A 21811-nucleotide genomic window follows, 5' to 3' on the forward strand; every position below is an offset into this window, starting at 1 on the left:
ACATACACCCTCCCAAGACTAAACTAGGAAGAAGCTGAATCCCTGAATAGGCCAATAACAAGTTCTCAAATTGAGGTAGTAATAGCCTACCAACCAAAACAAGCCCAGGACCAGACGGATTCACAGCCGAATTCTACCAGAGGTACAAAGAGGAGCTGGTACCATTCCTTCTGAAACTATTCCAAACAATAGAAAAAGAGGGAATCCTCCGTAACTTATTTTATGAGGCCAGCACCATCCTGATACGAAAACCAGGCGGAGACACAACAAAAAAAGAAAATTTCAGGTCAATATCCCTGAAGAACATTGCAAAAATCCTAAATAAAATAAATACTGGCAAACCGAATCCAGCAGCACATCAATAAGCTTATCCATAATCATCCAGTCGGCTTCAACCCTGGGATGCAAGGCTGGTTCAGCATACACAAATCAATAAATGTAATCATTATGTAAATAGAACCAACAACAAAAGCCACATGATTATCTCAATAGATGCAGAAAAGGACTTCGACAAAATTCAACAGTGCTTCATGCTAAAAACTCTCAATAAACTAGGTATTGAGGGAACATATCTCAAAATAATAAGAACTATTTATGACAAACCCACAGACAATATCATACTGAATGGGCAAAAACTGGAAGCATTCCCTTTGAAAACTGGCACAAGACAAGGATGCCCTCTCTCACCACTCCTATTCAACATAGTATTGGAAGTTCTGGCCAGGGCAATCAGGCAAGAGAATACCAGAAATAAATGGTATTCAAACAGGAAGAGAGGAAGTCAAATTGTCTCTGTTTGCAGATGACATGATTGTTTATTTAAAAAAAACCCTGTTGTCGGCCGGGTGAGGTGGCTCACACCTGTAATCCCTGCCACTGAGGAGGGCAGATCACAAGGTCAGGAGATCGAGACCATCTTGGCTAACATGGTGAAACCCCATCTCTACTAAAGAAAACACAAAAAAATTAGCCAGGCATGGTGGAAGGCGCCTGTAGTCCCAGCTACTCGGGTGACTGAGGCAGGAGAATGGTGTGAACCCAGGAGGCGGAGCTTGCAGTGAGCCCAGATCATGCCACTGCACTTGCACTCCAGCCTGGGTGACAGAGCAAGACTCCATCTCAAAAAAAAAAAAAAAAAAAGAAAACCCCATCTTCTCAGCCCCAAATCTCCTTAAGCTGATAAGCAACTTCAGCAAAGTCTCAGGATACAAAATCAATATGCAAAAATCACAAGCATTCCTATACACCAATAATAGACAAACGGAGAGCCAAATCATGAGAGAACTCTCATTCACAATTGCTACAAAGAGAATAAAATATCTAGGAATACAACTTACAAGGGATGTGAAGGACCTCTTCAAGGAGAACTACAAACCACTGCTCAAGGAAATAAGAGAGGACACAAACAAATGGAAAAACATTCCATGCTCATGAATAGGAAGAATTAATATTGTGAAAATGGCCATACTGCCCGAAGTAATTTATAGATTCAGTGCTATCCCCATCATGCTACCATTGACTTTCTTCACAGAGTTAGAAAAACTACTTTAAATTTCATATGGAACCAAAATATAACTCATATAGCCAAGACAATCCTAAGCAAAAAGAACAAAGTGGGAGGCATCACGCTACCTGACTTCAAACTATACTACAAGGCTACATTAACCAAAACAACGTGATACTGGTACCAACACAGATATATAGACAAATGGAACAGAACAGAGGCCTCAGAAATAACTCCACACATCTACAACCATTTCACCTTTGACAAACAGGACAAAAACAGGCAATGGGGAAAGGATTCCCTATTTAATAAATGGTGTTGGGGTAACTGGCTAGCCATATGCAGAAAACTGAAACTGGACCCCTTCCTTACACATTATACAAAAATTAACTCCAGATGAATTAAAGACTTAAACATAAGACCTAAAACCATAAAAACCCTAGAAGAAAACCTAGGCAATACCATTCAGGACATAGGCATGGGCAAAGACTTCATGACTAAAACACCAAAAGCAATGGCAACAAAAGCCAAAATTGATAAATGGGATCTAATTAAACTAAGAGCTTCTGCACAGCAAAAGGAACTATCATCAGAGTGAACAGGCAACATACAGAATGGGAGAACATTTTTGCAATCTCTCCATCTGACAAAGGGCTAGTATCCAGAATCTACAAGGAACTTAAACAAATTTATAAGAAAAAAACAAACAACCCCATCAAAAAGTGGGCGAAGGATATGAACAGACACTTCTCAAAGGAAGACATTTATGCAGCCAACAAATATATGAAAAAAAGCTCATCATCACTGGTCATTAGAGAAATGCAAATCAAAACCACAATGAGATACCCATCTCACACCAGTTAGAATGGCAATCATTAAAAAGTCAGGAAACAACAGATCCTGGAGAGGATGTGCAGAAATAGGAACACTTTTACACTGTTGGTGGGAGTGTAAATCTAGTTCAACCATTGTGGAAGACAGTGTGGCAATTCCTCAAGGATCTAGAACCAGAAATATCATTTGACCCAGCAATCCCATTACTGGGTATAAACTCAAAGGATTATAAATCATTCTACTGTTAAAACACATGCACACATGTGTTTATTGCAGCACTATTCACAATAGCAAAGACTTGGAACCAACCCAAATGCCCATCAATGATAGACTAGATAAAGAAAATGTGGCACATACACACATGGAATACTATGCAGCCATAAAAAGGATGAGTTCATGTCTTTGCAGGGACATGGATGAAGTGGGAAACCATCATTCTCAGCAAACTAACACAGGAATGGAAAACCAAACACCGTGTGTTCTCACTCATAAGTTGGAGTTGAACAATGAGAACACATGGACACAGAGAGGGGAACATCACATACTGGGGCCTGTCAGGGGGTGGGAGGACTAGGGGAAGGATAGCATTAGGAGAAATAACTAATGTAGATGATGGGTTGATGGGTGCAGCAAACCACCATGGCACCTGTATACCTATATAACAAACCTGCATGTTCTTCACATGTATCCCAGAATTTAAAGTACAATTAAAAAAATTAATAAACAGGAAGGGTAAAAAATATAAACAGAGAAAGTTTCTGTTTCAATTTGATGATATGGTGGTATCACATAGACTGATAAGCCAGGTGCATATAATACCCAGAGGAACTACTGAAAGCTTACACAAAGAGTTTTACTCAAAAACACATGATAAATCAAAATGTAATTCTAAAGACTATTCAAATAACCCAAAGGAAGGAAGGCATATTAGTCTGTTCTCACACTGCTAATAAATACATACCTGAGACTGGGTAATTTATAAAGAAAGAGGTTTAATGAACTCACAGTTCCACATGGCTGGGGAGGCCTCACAATCATGGCAGAAGGCAAGGAGGAGCAAAGTCACGTCTTACACGGCAGCAGGCAAGAGAGTTTGTGTAGGGGAACTCCCCTTATAAAACCATCGGATCTCATGAGACTTATTCACTATCACCAGAACAGCATGGGAAAGACCTGCCCCCATGATTTAATTATCTCTCACCGTGTCCCTCCCAGAACAAATGGAAATTATGGAAGCTACAATTCAAGGTGAGATTTGGGTGGGGACAGAGCCAAACCATATCAGCAGGGAAAAAAAAAAAAAAAAAAGAGGCAGAGGAGAGAAAATACAGAACATAGACAGAAAAAAAGGCAGACTTAAATCCTAACACATCAGTAATTATATTACATAAAAATGGTTTAAATATACCAATTAAAAGACGGAGATCGTTAGAGTGAATTAAAGAACATGGCCCGATGTTATGCTATCTACAGAAAACTCACCTAAAGTGTAATGATATAGGTTAGGTATTATATCGTGAAAGTAAAAATATATCATGCAAATATTAGATCAAATTCAAAATTAGAGTTAGAAATCCCAATATCACTCTCTCAAAAATTGACAGAAAAACTTGACAGAAAACCATCAAGAATATGTAGAAGCATAAATATAACAAAAAAACCTATAAATAGAAACTAAATAAACCCTTCTAAATAATCCATGAGTCAAAGAAAAGTTCTCAAGGGAGGTTTAAAAATACCAGGAATTGGATAAAAATGAAAACAGCTAGGCACAGTGGCTCATGCCTGTGATCCCAGAGCTTTGGGAGGCTGAGGCAAGAGGATCACTTGAGCCCGGAAGGTTGAGACCAGCCTGGGAAACACAGTGAGATCCCTTCTCTATAAAAATTTGTAAAAATGATTAGCTGGGTGTAGTGGCTTGCACCTATAGTCCTAGCTACTTGGGAGGCTGAGGCAGAAGGATCACTTCACTTGAGCCCAGGAGTTGGTGGCTATGTTCTCAGTGAGCTGGTTGGGCCATTGCACTCTAGTCTGAGTAACAGTGAGACACTGTCACAAAAAAAAAAAAAAAAAAAAAAAGGTGGGGGGGGGAGGAAAAGAAAAAGAAAATATCACAAAAATGTCATATATCAAAATTTGTAGGACAAAGCTGATGCAGTTCTGAGAGGAAAATTTATGAAACTAAATGCATGCATTTGAAAAGAGGAAAAGTCTCAAATGAATACCCTATGCTCCCACCTCAAGAACCTTAAAAAAAAACAAAAAACCAGCAAGCAGAAGTAATAAAGATAAGAACAAAAATCAATGAAATTGAGAACAGGAGACAATAGAGAACAAGAGGGAAAAAAAAGTCAATGAAACAATGAGCTGGTTCCTTACAAAGTTCAATAAAATTGACAAACCTTTACCAAGATTGACAGAGAAAGAGAGACGGGGCAGGGAACAAGGGAGGGTGAAGAGAAAACACAATTACCAACGTTAGGAATGAAGATATTCCTATAGGTCCTGCTGATATGAGAAGGATTTTAAGGGAAGACTGCAAACAACCTTACAAACATAAATTTGATAATTTAGAAGATATGGAACACAAAGTACCATAACTTACCCAATGTAAAATACCTAATTTAAATAGCCTTGTAACTATTCAGAACAATAGATGTGTAATTTTAAAACTTGCAGAACAAAAATCTCCAGGTCCAATGGTTTCACTAATAACTTTTACCAAATGTTCAAAGAAGAATTGGTACCAGTTTATACAATTTCTTTCAGAAAACAGAAGAAAATGAAATATTTCCCATTTATTTTATTTAGCCTATTTCAATACCAAAAACAATAGACAATTGTCCCTCAAAAAAACAAAGAAAGAAAGAAAAGAAAGAAAAGAAAAAAAAAAACCGCAGCTTTCTCCTGAGCATAGAAAACACATCTTTTTTAAATAATTAGCAAATAGAATTTAGCAACTTATAATAAGAATTATGTAACATGACCATGTTGCACTTATTCTAGGGATACAAAGTTGGTTCAGTATTTGAAAATCAATGTAATCCATTATCTTAACAGGCTGAAGATAAACAAAAATCACAGGATCATATCAATCAATGAATAACAAGTATTTGACAAAATTCATTGACCATTTATGATAAAAATAAACTCAGAAAAAGGAACTAGAAGGGAATTCCTCAGCTACAAAAAAAAAAAAAAAAAAAACAAAACCCTATGGCTAGCATTATGCTAAATGGTGAAAGACTGAAATGTTTTCCATTTAAGATGAGAAATAAGACAAGAATACCTACTCTCACAATTCTTATTCATCATAGTACAGGAAGTTCTATAATACAATGAAGAAAAGAAAATAAAGGCATAGAGATTGGAAGCAAAGAAAAAAAGTGTCCGTATTTGCAGATAGCATGGTTGTCATCATGAAAAAAAATCCCAAAGAATCTACAAAACAAAACAACAATAAAAGCCCACCTCAAACAACCAACAAGTGAATTCAGCAAGGTCACAAAATACAAGATAAATATACAAAAATCTATTATATTTCTATACATTAGGAGTGAATGTGTAGACATCAAAATTTAAAATTATTATACCATTTAAAATCACTCCATTTGAAAAGACTCAAAAATGAAATAAGTATAAATTTAACAAAACATGTAAAGAATTTGTTTGCAGAAAACAAAACACTGTCATGAAAGAAATTAAAGGAGACATAAACAAATTATAAGACGTACTGTATTCATGGATTAGAAGACTCACATAGTAAAGACGTCAGTTCTCTCCAAACTAATATGCAAGTTCCATACAATTTCTATCAAAATACAGCAATACTTTTTTGTAGCTAACAACAAGATTATTCTTAAGTCTATATGGAAAGGAAAAGGAACTCGAATAAGTAAAACAATTTTTAAAAATTAAGAATAAATTGGAAGAAATAAGTATACCCAATTTCTAGAGTTATTATGGAGTTAGAGTATCAAGACTGTGGTTTTGGTGGAGGGATATGCTCATAGCTCAATAGAACAGAATAGAAAAGTAATTGAACAGAATAGAAAATCCAAATTATAGAAATGGAGAACAGATTAGTGACTGCCAGGGTTTAAGAATGGAATGAGGGTGGAAGAGAAGTGGATGTGGCTATAAAAAATATAAAAACATGGTAGATCTTCATGTTGATGGAAATGTTCTATATCTTGACAATATCAGTGTCAGTACCCTGGTTGTGATAATGTACAATGATTTTATAAGATATTTCCACTGAAGGAGAATAGGTAAAATGATCTTTATGTATTATACGATCTCTCTTATTATTTCTTACTTCATGTGAATCTAACAATAACATCACAAGTTTAATTTAAAAATTCAGAAGTATTTTGGGCACAATGACAGATAATGGATCTTAAATTTTAATTGGTTAATTAATTCCTCTTTGAGGTTAACACCTCAACACTTGCCCTTCCTTGTGCAGTTCACTGCATCTACCCTAGTACACAGTCATATTCTTTTTTTTTTTTTTTTTTTTTTTTTGAGACGGAGTCTCGCTCTGTCACCCAGGCTGGAGTGCAGCGGCTTGATCTCGGCTCACCGCAAGCTCTGCCTCCCAGGTTCACGCCATTCTCCTGCCTCAGCCTCCTGAGTAGCTGGGATGACAGGCACCCGCCACCACGCCCGGCTAATTTTTTTTGTATTTTTTAGTAGAGACGGGGTTTCACCATGTTAGCCAGGATGGTCTCAATCTCCTGACCTCGTGATCCACCCGCCTTAGCCTCCCAAAGTGCTGGGATTACAGGCATGAGCCACTGCGCCCGGCTGAGTCATATTCTTTTTTCTAGACTACTGCAGTTATCCATATTTCTAAAGCAAAGTATATAGTTAGACACTGTACTACTTTAAAAAAGAAAGAAAAAAAAACTTGGTCATACTAGAAAGCCCCGATGTTAGAATTAATACTCAAACACCTTAAATAATTTATTTTAAATATGTACAAAAAAACCTAAAGGAAATCATACCCAAAGAACTGAGGAAAAGTATGAGAATGATGTCTTGCAAAATGGAAAATTTTAATAAAGAGATCTAAAAAATAACCAAGTAGAAATACTGGATTGAAAAGTAGAGAAACTGAAATTTAAAAATAATTAAAGAGGCTCAGTAGCAGATTTGAGCAGGCAGAAGAAAAAGCCTGAAGATATCTGTGTTTTCTTTCACATACCATGAAATATAGAGGTAGGAGCTACAGGGGTGGAGCAGAGGCTCTACGATGTCATCAGCACCCCAGATTCATTCTTTTTTGTCATCATGTCATCCTCAGAAGACAAGAGACTGAAGAAAAATGAACAGAGACTTAAAAGAGCAGTGGGACACCTTGAAGTATACCAACATATGCAAAATGACACTCCCATAAGGAGAGGAAAAAGAAAGTGGGGAAGAAACATATTTGAAAAGATAATTCCCAAAGGAATTATTTGAAACGTAAAAATTCCCAAATTTGATTAAAAACATTAATTTGCAAAACTGATAAGTTCAATGAACTTCAAATAGGATAAATTCAAAGACATTCACACCTAGATACATCATAATCAAATTCTCAAAAGCTAGAGAAAAAGAGATAATCTTGAAAGCAGTGAGAGAAAAGTGACTTATCACATAGAAGGGTTTTGTATCAGAAATCAAGGCTAGAAGGCAGTGGATTACATATTCGAAGGGATAAACAGAAAAAAGAGAGAGAAAAGAAACTGTCAGTGAAGAACTTTACATGCAGCAAAACTGTCATTCAAAATCACAGAGATATTAACACATTCCCAGGGTCTTTCATGGTGAAATGAAAGTACAGTAGACAATAAGTCAAGTCCACACAAATAAATAAATAGTATCAGTAAAGGTAACTATATAGATAAATATTTTAAAAACAGTATAAATGTATTTTTTCTTTGCTTATTTTAGATGTTTACAAATATCTAAACATAGACAAAAATGTATTTTTTTCTTTGTAACTCCTTTTATTTCCCTACCTGATTTACAAGCCAACTATTTAAAGCAATAATTATAAGTCTGAGTTGATACATATACAGTATATGATATAATCTGTATCACAATAACAATACAAAGGAAATATAAGGTAACAGAATTACGGAAGAGCAAAAAAATTGTATGCTATTGAAATTAACTTGATATTAATCCAAACTAGAATTTTATACATGAAGAAGAAAACTGAAGAATATACATGAAGATGATATATGAAGAAGATTATACATGAAGAAGAAAAATCATTAAGGCAATCCTAGGGCAATCATTAAGAAAAAACTCAAAAATAAAAAAAAAGACAATACTATGCTGGGAAATCTCTATTAAATATTTACATACTTAATACCTAAATATGTATTTAACAAAAGAAAAGGCAATTATAAAGAAATTGAGGGAAAAAAAGACATAAAACAAATACAAACAACTAGCAAAATGGCAGATGTGTTTCCTTGTAAGTATATAAGTCGTGCATTGCTTAATGATAGGGATGTGTTCTGAGAAGTGTGGTGTTCTGAGAAATGCATTTTTAGGCAATTTCCTCATTTTGCAAACATCGTAGAACAGGGGTGTCCAATCTTTTGGCTTCCCTGGGCCACACTGGAAGAAGAATTTTCGTGGGCCACACATAAAATTAACACTAATGACAGCTGAAACAAAACAAAAATCACAAAAAAATCTCATAATGTTTTAAGAAAGTTTACAAATTTTGGGGGGACCACATTCAAAGATGTCCTGGGCCACAGGTTGGACAAGATTGTCATAGAGTATATTTACACAAACCTAGATGGTATAGCCTACTGTACAACTAGGCTATATAGTATAGCCTATTGTTCCTAGGCAATGAACATGTTTGTACAGCACGTTACTGTACAGCATGTTACTATATTGAATACCATAAGCAAATGTAACACAATACTAAGTATTTGTATATTTACAAATATCTAAACATAGAGAAGATAATGCATTGTGCTATGACATTATGATGGCTATGACATCACTAGGCAATAGAAATTTTTCAACTCTGTTATTACCTTATGGGAACACTGTCATATATGCAGTCCATCATTAACCAAAATGTTCTTAAGTGGCACACATAACTGTAATTACATTAAATATAAACTCTCCAGTTAAAAAGTGGAGATTGGCAGATTTATAAATGCATATAATTCAACTTTATGCTATCTATAAGAGAAATAGTTTAGATTCGAAGACAAAAGTAGGTTAAAAAAGGATGAAAACAGTAACCAAAGAGAGCTAGAATAGTTATACTAATATCAAACAATACAGACTTTTAGACAAAACTTGTTCTGAGACAAAGGACATAAAATAATAAAAGGGTCAATCAATCAAGACTATATAACAATTATAAGTATATATGCAAATAACAACAGAGTCTCAAAACACATGACAGAAAAATGGACAGAATTGAGGGTAAAGAATACAACAATAATAGTTGGAGACTGTAACAATACCCCACCTTCAATAATACCCAACTTTCAATATAGGATAGAACAAATAAACATTTGAAGAAAGATCAGCAAGTAATGAGAAGGCCTGAACAACAGTCTAAACCAACTAGACCTAATAGTCATCTATAGAACACTTTACTCAGCAACAGCAGAATACACATTCTCCCCAAAGGCATACATTCTCCAAGACAAACCATATGATAGGCCATCAATAATGTCTAAATAAATTAAAAGGAGGCTGGGCGTGGTGGCTTATGCTTGTAATCCCAGCACTTTGGGAGGCCAAGGTAGGTGGATCACAAGGTCAGGAGATTGAGACCATCCTGGCTAACACCATGAAACTCCGTCTCTTCTAAAAATACAAAAATAATTAGCCAGGCATGGTGGCATGCACCTGTAGTCCTAGCTACTCAGGAGGCTGAGGCAGCAGAATTGCTTGAACCGGGAGGCAGAGGTTGCAGTGAGCCGAGATCGCGCCACTGCATTCCAGCCTGGGTGACAGAGCAAGACTCCGTCTCAAAAAATAAAAATAAAATAAAATAAATTAAAAGGAATGAAATTATACAAAGTATGTCCTCAACACAACAAAATGATTTTAGAAAGTAGTAACAGAAGGAAATTTGGGGAATTCACAAATGCATAGAAATTAAAAAACATACTCCTAAAAATCCTATGGTCAAAGAAGAAATCAAAAGTGAAATTAGAACATACTTTGAGAAAAATGAAAACAAAAACACGACATACTAAAATGTATGGGATACAGTGTGCTTATTAAGGAGGACCAGAAACTTCACTTTCCAAAGGGCTTTTAAACTTAATGGGAGGAAGCAATTCTGCCATTTCTGAATGAGGCCTTTCATTTGTCCTGGCTCTGGAGTGTGGCCTCAGCAAATGAGACAATGGCCTTTCTGGCCAGCAGCATTATTCATGATAGCTGAAAGATGGAAACAACCCAACTGTCCATCAAATGATGAATAGATAAACAAAATGTGGTATTTCCATACTATATTGTATCATTTTATTATATGAAATGGTCAGAACAGGCAAATCCATAGAGACAAAAAGTAGATTTGTGGTTGCCAGAGGCTGGAGGGAGGGATATGGGAGTAACTGTTAATAATTATGAGGTTTCTTTCAGGGCTGATAAAAAATGTTCTGGAATTAGATACTGATAGCTGCATGACCTTGTGAATGAATACACTAAAATGTACACTTTAAAAAGCTGAATTTTATTTTATGTAAATCCTATCCCAGTTTATTTAGAAAACATGGGAAGACCACTATTCCTTTTATAAATGGAATACAGAGCATGGACTCTGGGATCAGTCACATGGGTCTACAATCTTGTCCATCTACTCCTCCTTCCTCCGCTCTAAAATAGACACAATTAATAGCAATCTCTCAATTAATAGCAATTTTCATCATTATTATTTCATCATGCCTGTAAAAAGATATTGCAATTATTATCAATTATGAATATAAATTATGTGTTGGTGATTAGAGAGCCCTGCTTGCCAAGAGAGAAAATAATTGAGTAGAATCCCATACTGCTAGGATAAAGACCATCAATATTCTCTCAGGCATTGTATTCTGCTCCAAAAAGTGAAATTCTATAGTAATATTGCTTCTCCCTCCCCATACCTTGTAAAGTGGAAATTAAGTCCTTTCTTGCTAATTTGAGTATTTAGGAATCAATTCAGTGAAATGTTGTGAAACGATGAAGCTTTTGTTACATCTCAAAATGAATGTTACAGGTAAAAACAAAAAGTTATTACTAAAACTTTCAAAAAAGCAATATTTTCTAGTTCTATACATTCTACTTCTAAAACATCTCCTGAAATTCTCCCCCAAATTATTATAACAGCATCCTGTTGGTGTTTCCTACCAATGTTTCCCTTACAGTGCCCAGAGTCATGAATCTAAAATAGATATGCTCATGTCCCTCTTTGTTCAAAGACATCCTCTGACTTTGAACTGCTTACAGAAATAGATTCCACCTGTGTTGATACAAGTGATTGATTGGTCATGGTTTGCTGAAGTGTATATGGTCAAGTATTCTAGGGATATGCCTGAGCTGAATGAAAAGACATTCTTGAATTCAGTTTTAATATCCTCGATGGATATGGGAATAGAGGAGAAGAATGAAATGTGGCTAGTGTTTCCCATGCTGAGATTAAGGTCAAACTCCTTAGTACATGCTTTATAAAGGATCTGTCAACAAATTTACTTCCAAGAGTATTATCTTCTGTTATCATTGCAACATCTCCTAGCATTATCTGCAATGTCCTTCCTGACCTTCACTACATAGACAATATATAACATTATTCGAATCTCAGCTTAAAACGTATCCTCGGTTAGCTTTTACAAACCATCCCGTGCCCAAACACCACTCATATTCCTGGAGATATTGCTGCTGTTTCTGTTTCCAGATCGCTTTGTTCCTACTTTTATTATAGTATTTATTCTATTACAGTTCATTGTTATGCATTTGGATCTACCACTATATTCAAACTCTTTGGTAAGTACCATGTTCAGGAGATTCTAGTTCAGAATATTGTATATACTTTTTCTGAAAGGTTAGGACTTCTGTTTCAAAAGTAGTTATCTTCTGGCAAAAGTCAGAAGACTCTAGACAGATCTGAAATTCAGATTAAGTTGACAATTAGGACAAAAAAGACAAAACTCATGGCTACACAAACCAGTCAGTAATACTCAAGTTTCTGGACAAGTTTCTACCAAGCCCATTCAAAGTATGCAATATGGTGAAAAACTATCAGAATGGAAGTCAGGAGACCTGGGTTCTCATTCTTTCTCTGCTATTAGTTAGCTAAGTAGATTTTCAAAGATGGAAACTTAATCTTTCTTGGCCATAACGATCCTATCAATAAAAAGTGAGGTTCTATTATCTGCTAAATTATTGCAAAGATCTCCGTAGCTCTGAAATTTTAGGCACTGTATCTTTGTAGGTTGCTGCATGGTCTCTAAGTGTTAGTTGTTGCCTCCTAGTTGAATGGCTCAATGTGTATGAGTAATAATTATTCAGAATTAATATGTATAACAATTATCTCCCTAAAACCTTTTAGGAATCCAAACAGATTCTTAGTTTAAATAATTATTTTTGTTGTTAGGACTGTTTATAGATAATAAAGACATGTGACAAATTCATTCTCGTTCACCTCGAATATCTATCTGTTTTCTTCTACACCCAGGATAAATACACTTTAGATAATTGCAAATCTTCCCTTTTTGTTCTTCAAATCCTCACAATTACAGTAATTCTTCTATATCTTCTTATTCAGACTCTTTTTAAATTCCAAGAACAAATTAAATTACTCTATCATCTGGAAGCAGAAAAAAGAACAAAGTGGATTTTTTCACAAATGGATTACATAACATGAATATTTTCATTTGTCAGATCACTTTCTTTCCTGTCAGTGTCAAGGCAAAAAAAGGCCAAGAATGTCTTCCAAAAGACAGTTTTTCCTCAAACCAGACATCAGACAGACCTTCCAAAGGGCAGTCAAGCATACTAAATCCAGTTCATGAATATGAAGGTTTGGGATTTTAGTGGTTTTAGTCCCTTTCTATTAATGAGAAGTAAAAATGTGTGTCTCATTTAAACAGAAGGGATTCAAAAACTACCCAATTGGTAATAGAAAAATAAAAGTAAACCAAAACAGTTTCCAATAAAATATTATAGTATAAACTTTAAAAAATTATTTATTTTATTTTTATTATAATTTTATCTTTATAAACTATGAAAATTTTTAAATTAGTGTTTTCTTTGGTGTTATGTTCCAATAGCAAATGGTTTTCATGGATAATCTCACGGGTCATTGCTTCTTTTAATTAGTAGCTTTTGCTAAACATAAAAAAATCCTCAAGTAATTTTTAACACTGATTACAACTGCCTAGTCCATTAACAAATTGTCATATTAACACTGGCCACATTGTACAGCTTATCTTTAAAGGCTACTTGTTTCATTTTCATAGATTTTAATTAACTTTTCCTTTCCTATTAGAGTTGACCATTAAGCAGCAACAAAGGTATTTTGCCTTTTTTGCTTCTGGATATGCAGATTTTGACTGAAAAAGAGATCTGGAAAATGCAAAAAATATAGATACCAAATTAGATGGTGGTGAGACTTGTAGATAGAATCAAAGAAGCCAGGCTCTGTAAACACTACCAGCACATTGATTGAATCAATTTCATGTTGCCACAATACTTCTGGAAGTCTGTAAAATTTCCATCAACAGCTTCTCTTATTTGCATTAGCTGGGAACAGTACATATAATCATAACTGACAGGCTAGAGGGAGTTTAGGCTTATGAAACAGAGAAAGGAAAGGAAAATGCTCATTGTTTAGATTCCCTAAAGTAGAAAATGTTATCTTTGTTTGGGAAACAGAATGTACTGTACTTGCAGTCTAATCCCTAAGGTTTAGGAAGGTCTACAAGTTTAGAACAGACCTCAAAGGTTCTCTCAAACAATGACCTCTTTTCCCAACACTTTCATATGTGTGCGTGTGTGTAGAGAGCAGAAAAGCCTGGATCCTGAACACCATGTTATATAATATATAGGTAATGTATATAATATCTGCTCAAATATCACTCTATCCAAAAGGACTTCCCTGATCTAAAATGATCTAAAACAAGACACATACTCTTCCCTTTCATTATTACTCTCTAAACTCTTACCTTGTTTTGATACACACATATATACATATATATACATACATGTACATATATTTTAATACATATATTTATATAACATATATACGATACACACATATACATATATGTACATATATGTGTGCATCGAATATATGTGTTATATAAATATATGTATGAAAATGAGCTACATGTGTTTATCTTTAGAGAAAGCCTTTGATATTGTTAAATGTGTTATGTACATATTTACGTAAATCTATATCATATAGACATATCTAAAGACAAATACATATAACTCATTTTCAAAATAAGTATGTACTCTAAATAGGTATAAATTGATAAAGACTGAAGCTACATAATAAATATGACCAATTAGTGGGTAACCAAAATACACAAAAAAAGAGAGAGGAAGGAGATGGAGTGAGAAACAAAAGCGAATGTAAAATTAGTAAGAATAATTCAAAAGAAAATATAGGCTGAATTCCAAGAGAAAGACCCCTTTTGGACACAATTTATAAACCTTCATCTTTCAAGGGAAGACTTTAAAGTGTTCACATGCACAAAGCTGGACTGACCATCTACCCTAGGTGTGTTACAATAAATGTAAAAGTCTTGCAAGTTCCTTCACCAAATTCTACATGGATCAAGATACTGTTAATCTTTCAGAGAAGCATTCTGCAACTTAACAAAGTTGGGCATAGTTCCAAAAAGCTTTCAGGAACTTCAGAGTAAGAACACTTAGGTCTAGTATGGCAGGAGCAGGCAAGTTTGAAAAGAAAGGAAGACTCTTTCACAGGCCTAGCTTCTTCTCAAATTTACCAGTAGAAAAGGCTATGGAGCATCAACTAACTTTTTAACTAATAGACTTTCAACACCATTACTTTTTATAGATTATACAATAGCTTCCCCCACCTTCTCCTAAAGTCGATTTCAGTTTTAAGTCCTACCCTCAGATATCCAACCAACCTTTCCACACCACCAGAAGTACTCTCTCTGCTGTCACCTATTACAACTCTCCTCCACGCAGTCTCAGCTCCAGTCCTGCTGGCTTTCTGCTCTTCAAAGAGCCTGTCATTAACATCGCCTCAGGGCCTTTGCTGCAACGAGTTCTTCTGCCTAGAACACACTTTTCATTTAATCTTCCACTTCATTTATGTATCTGCTCAAAGGCCATCTATCAGAAAGGACTTCCTTGATCTAAAACGATGTAAAGTCAGCACCAGCACCCACATGTGTCCCTTCTACCTTACTCTGCTTTGATTTTCTTCATAGTACTTTTTGACATGAAGAACATTATCTATATATTTGTTTAATTGTTTTGTCTTTTCGCCTCCACTAGGATGTAAGCACCATAATGTTCTTGAGATACTTGTTCAGGAACTAAATAACTCAGGCACCTAGAAAAGTGCTGGGCACATAGGAAGTGCTCAGTAATACATGCTGAATAAATGACTCAAATTCTATTCTTCCTGCTAATGTAAAATTGAACTTTATACAACACAGACAACATCTCATTTTACACTCTTACTGTCCTCTAACACCAAGCTAGTCTTGCTTAAAATCAATCATTTCCCATTGCTTTTAGACTATAATCTACATTCCCGGCAGGACCCAAAAAGCTTCTCATGGATTCAACTCTGTTTAATTTTCCAGTCTCACCTTTCACCATCCCTTTCCATATTCTAAATTCTGATCACACTAAACTATTTGCAGCTCTTAAATGTATCATGCTCTCTTGAACCTCTAAATCTACATCTGTTTCTTCTGCCTGGAATGCCCTGCCTACCCTGTTTACCCTGGCTAACTCTTACTTGTCCTTCAGGATCCAGCAAAGCTTTCCCACGTGGGGTTAGATACTGTTAGTAATTGCTCTCACAGTCAGTACCCTGTGCCTTGCTTTAACACAGCACTGTCACATTATTTCTAAAAATAATAATGGTTTTCTTATTTACCTGATCTCCCTCCCCTATTAATTGAGAGCTCTTTGGGAACCACCAGGCATCTCTTTGCACTTATTCAACACAGTACCTGGAACCAGTAAACACTTAATAAATATTGACTATAGGAATGCATATTAAAAATGTATATTGAAGATTGAAGTATATTACATTTTTTGAGATTTGAGAGATTTCTGAACCATGACTTGGGACTATTAGAGACATACTAATGATACTGCAAAGACTAAGATTATAAATTTCTACAGTAGAGCTTTCATTTTCAATAAACCACATAATCAAATATTTGTTATATGTAATTTCAAATATAAAGCTGAGATATTTTAAACTCAGTAAAAGCATTTGGATAAGTAAATATTATGTAATTGGGAAGGGCTAGGCATGACTCATTTTTTTTTTCCAAAAAGTAACCTTGGTTAATATTTCAAGATTTGCCTATAAACTGAGCTTCCTTGTCTGTGACTGACTTTGAACCTTTTAAAACCAAAACATTAAGTTAGATATCTTGAAGTTCACTGCATGTATATAAGGAATTTTATATTATTAAGATGTGAATTTAGGGATCCCATTATTATGGTTCCCTCTGGCCCCCACCCCCATCCACTGGGTATTTGGGTGTCCATTTTCCCACATGGTGATGGATTTGCACTTTGCTTCATCAGGTCTCCCTTGGGCCAAGAACACATTTTAGCCATAATTATTGGAGCAGTCTGTGGCAGTGGAAAACCAAAGTTAACTGAACCACATGGAAATAAAACCCATGTCATTGGTGTCATTACCAGTACACCCTAACCAACAGAGTTAACCTCAATGTAAACAGCAGGCAAAAATAGCAAAACACTCCATCTTTTGGAGAAATCAGTCCGTTTGGAAAGAATGCAATAAGAAGGAAACACCTGAACTCATTTTTTTTGGACTAAAATGAGATACAAGTACTGATTTCTTTTTTTTTAAAATTATATATGTATGTGAGTCAAAAAAAAATCACACAGTTGGAAAAAAAAATGTTCACAGTGAAAAACATTCTTCACTCTCCAGTACTCAACACTGACTGCCCATCTCTCAGGTACCCTCAAGAGTCAACTTCTATTACCACTGTCTAAATTTTATTTCCATCTCAGTGTACTTGTTTATGATTATGCTATGTGTGTGTGCATGCATACAGTCATCTCCCTTTAATAAATGGTAGCACGTTATATACCCATTTTTAAAAATAATATATAAAACTTTCATCTGAAATTTATTCTGCTGAAAGCAGCGCAGTATGAATCATACTTTATCTCTTTTTTTCCAAATAAATGTCTATTGGTCAAAACCATTTATAGAATTATCAATCTTTCCCCCACTTATTTGAAATAAAATCTTACTGGGAACTAAGCTCTGTATATGTTTGAGTATATATCTAGGAATGCTACTGTTTTTATCATCTGTCTGATTATTTACTACTATCACTAATTTAACATTGTTTTATGTTTTGATAACTTAGAAGAGGTATAAACAGTAACATATCATGTAGTAAGAGACATAGATTGCTAAGTGTGGTACTGTTTTATAAATACTAAAAACTATAATTCATGGGATATTTTCATCAATATTGAACCTTAAATATTAACACATAATATGAGGATCAAACCTTTGGTTTAACAATCAAGTAAAAAGCATGAACACAATATTGGTATTATATGGGAAAACATATTTTCATTCACTCTTAGTAAGAGCATAAATCAGTACCTTATGGGAGAACATTACACAAACCCTACCAAAATTAACAATCCGTGTACTCTTTGACTTACCAATTCTACTTCTAGGAATTCATTCCACAGCCATACTTTCACTAGTGCAAAATGACTTATGCATGTTATTATTCACTGCAGTGTTACAGCAAAAACTGAAGGCATCTTAAATTTAAATCAGTAGGGAAACTTGTTAAATAAATTATATTCATACGATGGAGTTTCTACATAGTTATTAAAAAAGAACGAGGAAGTTCATTATACATTAATATAGAGAAATCTCCAAGAAATGGTAAGTAAAAAGTAAGATATTGAACAGCGGGTGGTATGCCATCATCTAGGTAAAAATGAATAGAAAAAAATGCATTCTTATTTACTCATATATGTATAAGTTATGCCTGGAAGGATACATATAAAAATAGGAGCATGCAACAGTGCAGCAAAGGAATAGAACTGAGAGTTCTATGTATTTTTCAGTAAATCTTTTAAAGTATCATTTTAGTTTTAAATCTTGGGATTAATGGTAAAACATATTTATTGAGAACCTATTATGTTTGAAAAACTATAAGATAAGGAGTTTTCACTTTTGTTTTAAATTATTCAATTAAGCTTTATTAAACATTCAAAGACTAAAGAGAAAATATTAAGAACCTTACATTGCCATGAATTATTAAAGAAAAAAAAAAGCAAACTAGATACCAGCATCAAATAACAAAAAAAGGAGATTAAAAAAAATCTAAGGTCATTTTGAGTTTGGAATGAGAAAAAATAATTCATGTACTATAGATTATGGCCAACTTGAAATCAGCAGTAAAATCTAGCAAGATACCTCAATGAACTACATAGATAATTCAATTTAACACAAATGTGTTAAAATATTGTAAATACCACAAATCTTAGATTATGGCTATTTGAAAGTAAAAGAGATGAAAAGGATAGGAGGGAACTCTAGAGAGTATCATCACACAAGCCAAAGAAAAGGGTAAGCCTCCAGTATAGGAATGTGGATAGCAGTGTCAAAGCTACAGAGATCTTCTTAAATTTAAATCAGTAAGATTAAAAATTATAGCTTCACTCTAAGTATTCCCAAAGTTAAATGATAAAGAATATTAAACATGTTAAACATAAGAGAAACCAGTAAATACTGTTCTTAAAAACTTAGATAGGCCGGGTGTGGTGGCTTACACCTGTAATCCCAGCAGTTTGGGAGGCCAAGGAGGGAAGATCATGAGGTCAGGAGTTCAAGACTAGCCTGGCCAACATGGTGAAACCCTGTCACTACTAAACATACAAAAATAAGCCAGGCGTGGTAGCCTGTGCCTGTAATCCCACCTACTCAGAAGGCTGAGGCAGGAGAATTGCTTGAATCCAGGAGTCTGAAGTTGCAGTGAGCAGAGATCACGCCACTGCACTCCAGCCTGAGTGGCAGAGCGAGACTCTGTCTCAAAAAAATAAAAAATAAATAAATAAAAACCTTAGATATATGAGTACCCGGTAATAGGACAGCAATGCTGTAATAGTAAAGCATGTATGTAGTACGAGCCACAAAAATGTAGTTTGCCTTTTAATTATTCTGAAACATGGTGTTTTTTTGTCAAATATTCTTGATAGATTAAGCATTCTTTTATTGTCTCTGAAGAAATTATGTTAAAATCATCTCAGAAATCTCAAAATGATTTGGTAAAAGGGGTGAAAGAGAAATGAATGTAGATAGATACACAATGAAAGGATGAAAATGAAGGATTCTAATTCTATTCTAATATTAGGAATAGTATGAACAAATACAATGACCGTGTTAATCTGATCAACATTCTTATATAGAGTCCTTGTTTATTCCATTAGATCTTACCAGATCAGAACATTATAATTCTTATTCACTTGAAAGTGCCATGAATTTTCCATTCAAAGTTAACCAGAATTTCAATTCAAGAATAACAAAGGATAATCACATTATTTGAGAGTACATGAATTACTTAATAATACTACACATCTTGGTAACTGAAAGAAAACAGGTGTATCAAAATGCTAGTAATCAAAACTAATCTGAAGAGGGAAAATAGAGTTAGCAATACTATTAGTGAAATTTAAAATAACATCACATTCTGAGTTGTACTTGACAATATTGAATTAAACTGAATCCTCCAGGCTAAACCTCCAATAGGTCCAATTACATTTTAAAGTAATTTCTAAAATCCATAAAGATCTCAGAAACCAGAAAGTGTTTTTTTGTTTTTGTTTTTGTTTTTGTTTTTTTCATCTCGCTCTGTCGCCAGGCTGGAGTGCAGTGGCACTATCTCGGCTCACTGCAACCTCCACCTCCCGGGTTCAAGCAATTCTCCTGCCTCAGCCTCCCGAGTAGCTGGGACTACAGGTGCACGCCGCCACACCCGGCGAATTTTTTTTTTTTTTTTTTTTTGTATTTTAGTAGAGACGGGGTTTCACCATGTTCTCCAGGCTGCTCTCGAACTCCTGAGCTCAGGCAATCCGCCCACCTCGGCCTCCCAAAGTGCTAGGATTACAGGAATGAGCCACCACGCCCGGCCCATTGCTCTTCCAAAAGTTTAGAAATAAAAGTACTTGTTAAGTAATGATGGTTTTGATCTCATAGTTATGTTATTTAAATCACTAGGACAAATATACAACAACTGCCGTCCGCTCAAAACTCAAACAATGGAGAGCATTTTTTTTTTTTTTTTTTTTTTTTTTTTGAGACGGAGTCTCGCTCTGTCGCCCAGGCTGGAGTGCAGTGGCGCGATCTCGGCTCACTGCAAGCTCCACCTCCTGGGTTCATGCCATTCTCCCACCTCAGCCTCTCGAGTAATTGGGACTACAGGCGCCCGCCACCATGGCTGGCTAATTTTTTTTTTTTTGTATTTATGGTAGAGACGGGGTTTCACCATGTTAGCCAGGATGGTCTCAATCTCCTGACCTTGTGATCCACCTGCCTCGGCCTCTCGAAGGGCTGGGATTACAGGTGTGACCCACCGCGCCTGGCCGGAGAACATTTTTAAAATGTAAAATTATTTTTCCAAAATTATTATTCAAATGACGCTTTATAAGAGATGGCCTTTTCCCCATCTCCCTATATGTACATATGCTGTTTATATTTCTAAATGTAAATTCTAACTTTGATTCTAATTTTGATGAAGACTCATTATGAATTAAGATAGCAAGCTACCAAGAGATAAGACTAGAGTGAAACAAGGGGCAGAAGACAGCAAATAGGGCTTTCAGGAAACAGAGTTCTTTATGATGGGCAGGTTATATGGAAATATAAATATGTCTATTTACTCACCATAATAAGGAAATTGTAAAGGAAGACATTTAATGATTTATGTAAAAAGATAAATACCATTTAATAAAGAATAGGTGATTACAAAAATATTTTATGCATAATTTTGCAGAATAAAATTATCTTTTTCTTATTTGACAAGACTAGATTTTTAAATAACAGAGGGGAAAGAGTCAAGGACAAGGAGAATGACATATAAAAATTAACAAGCAAGATACAAAAAATATACATAAAATTGGAAGAAAAAAATTGAGGTGGTTAAAAAAGAATGAAAAAAAGGGCACCTACTTCCAAATGATAAAATGACTTAGAAGTATTACAGCTCATTTTGT

General features: G+C 34.9%; 1 protein-coding gene across 15 annotated transcripts in view, besides 1 other annotated feature; it reads right to left on the minus strand.

Moving 5' to 3' along the window:
* Positions 1 to 21811, minus strand: part of CEP128 (centrosomal protein 128) — a 482534-nt gene that overhangs the window by 115457 nt on the left and 345266 nt on the right. The window lies entirely within an intron of this gene.
* Positions 12945 to 13114: an enhancer, noted in NCBI's record as "experimental_37660 CRE fragment used in MPRA reporter constructs". NCBI's record gives its function as "activates a minimal promoter by MPRAs in K562 erythroleukemia cells, with activity observed for the non-introgressed 14:81071799 variant allele {active_cell/tissue: K562}" and the evidence as "EXISTENCE:reporter gene assay evidence [ECO:0000049][PMID:34662402]".

Source organism: Homo sapiens, chromosome 14 (genome assembly GCF_000001405.40).
Source record: "Homo sapiens chromosome 14, GRCh38.p14 Primary Assembly".
Lineage (NCBI taxonomy): Eukaryota > Metazoa > Chordata > Mammalia > Primates > Hominidae > Homo > Homo sapiens.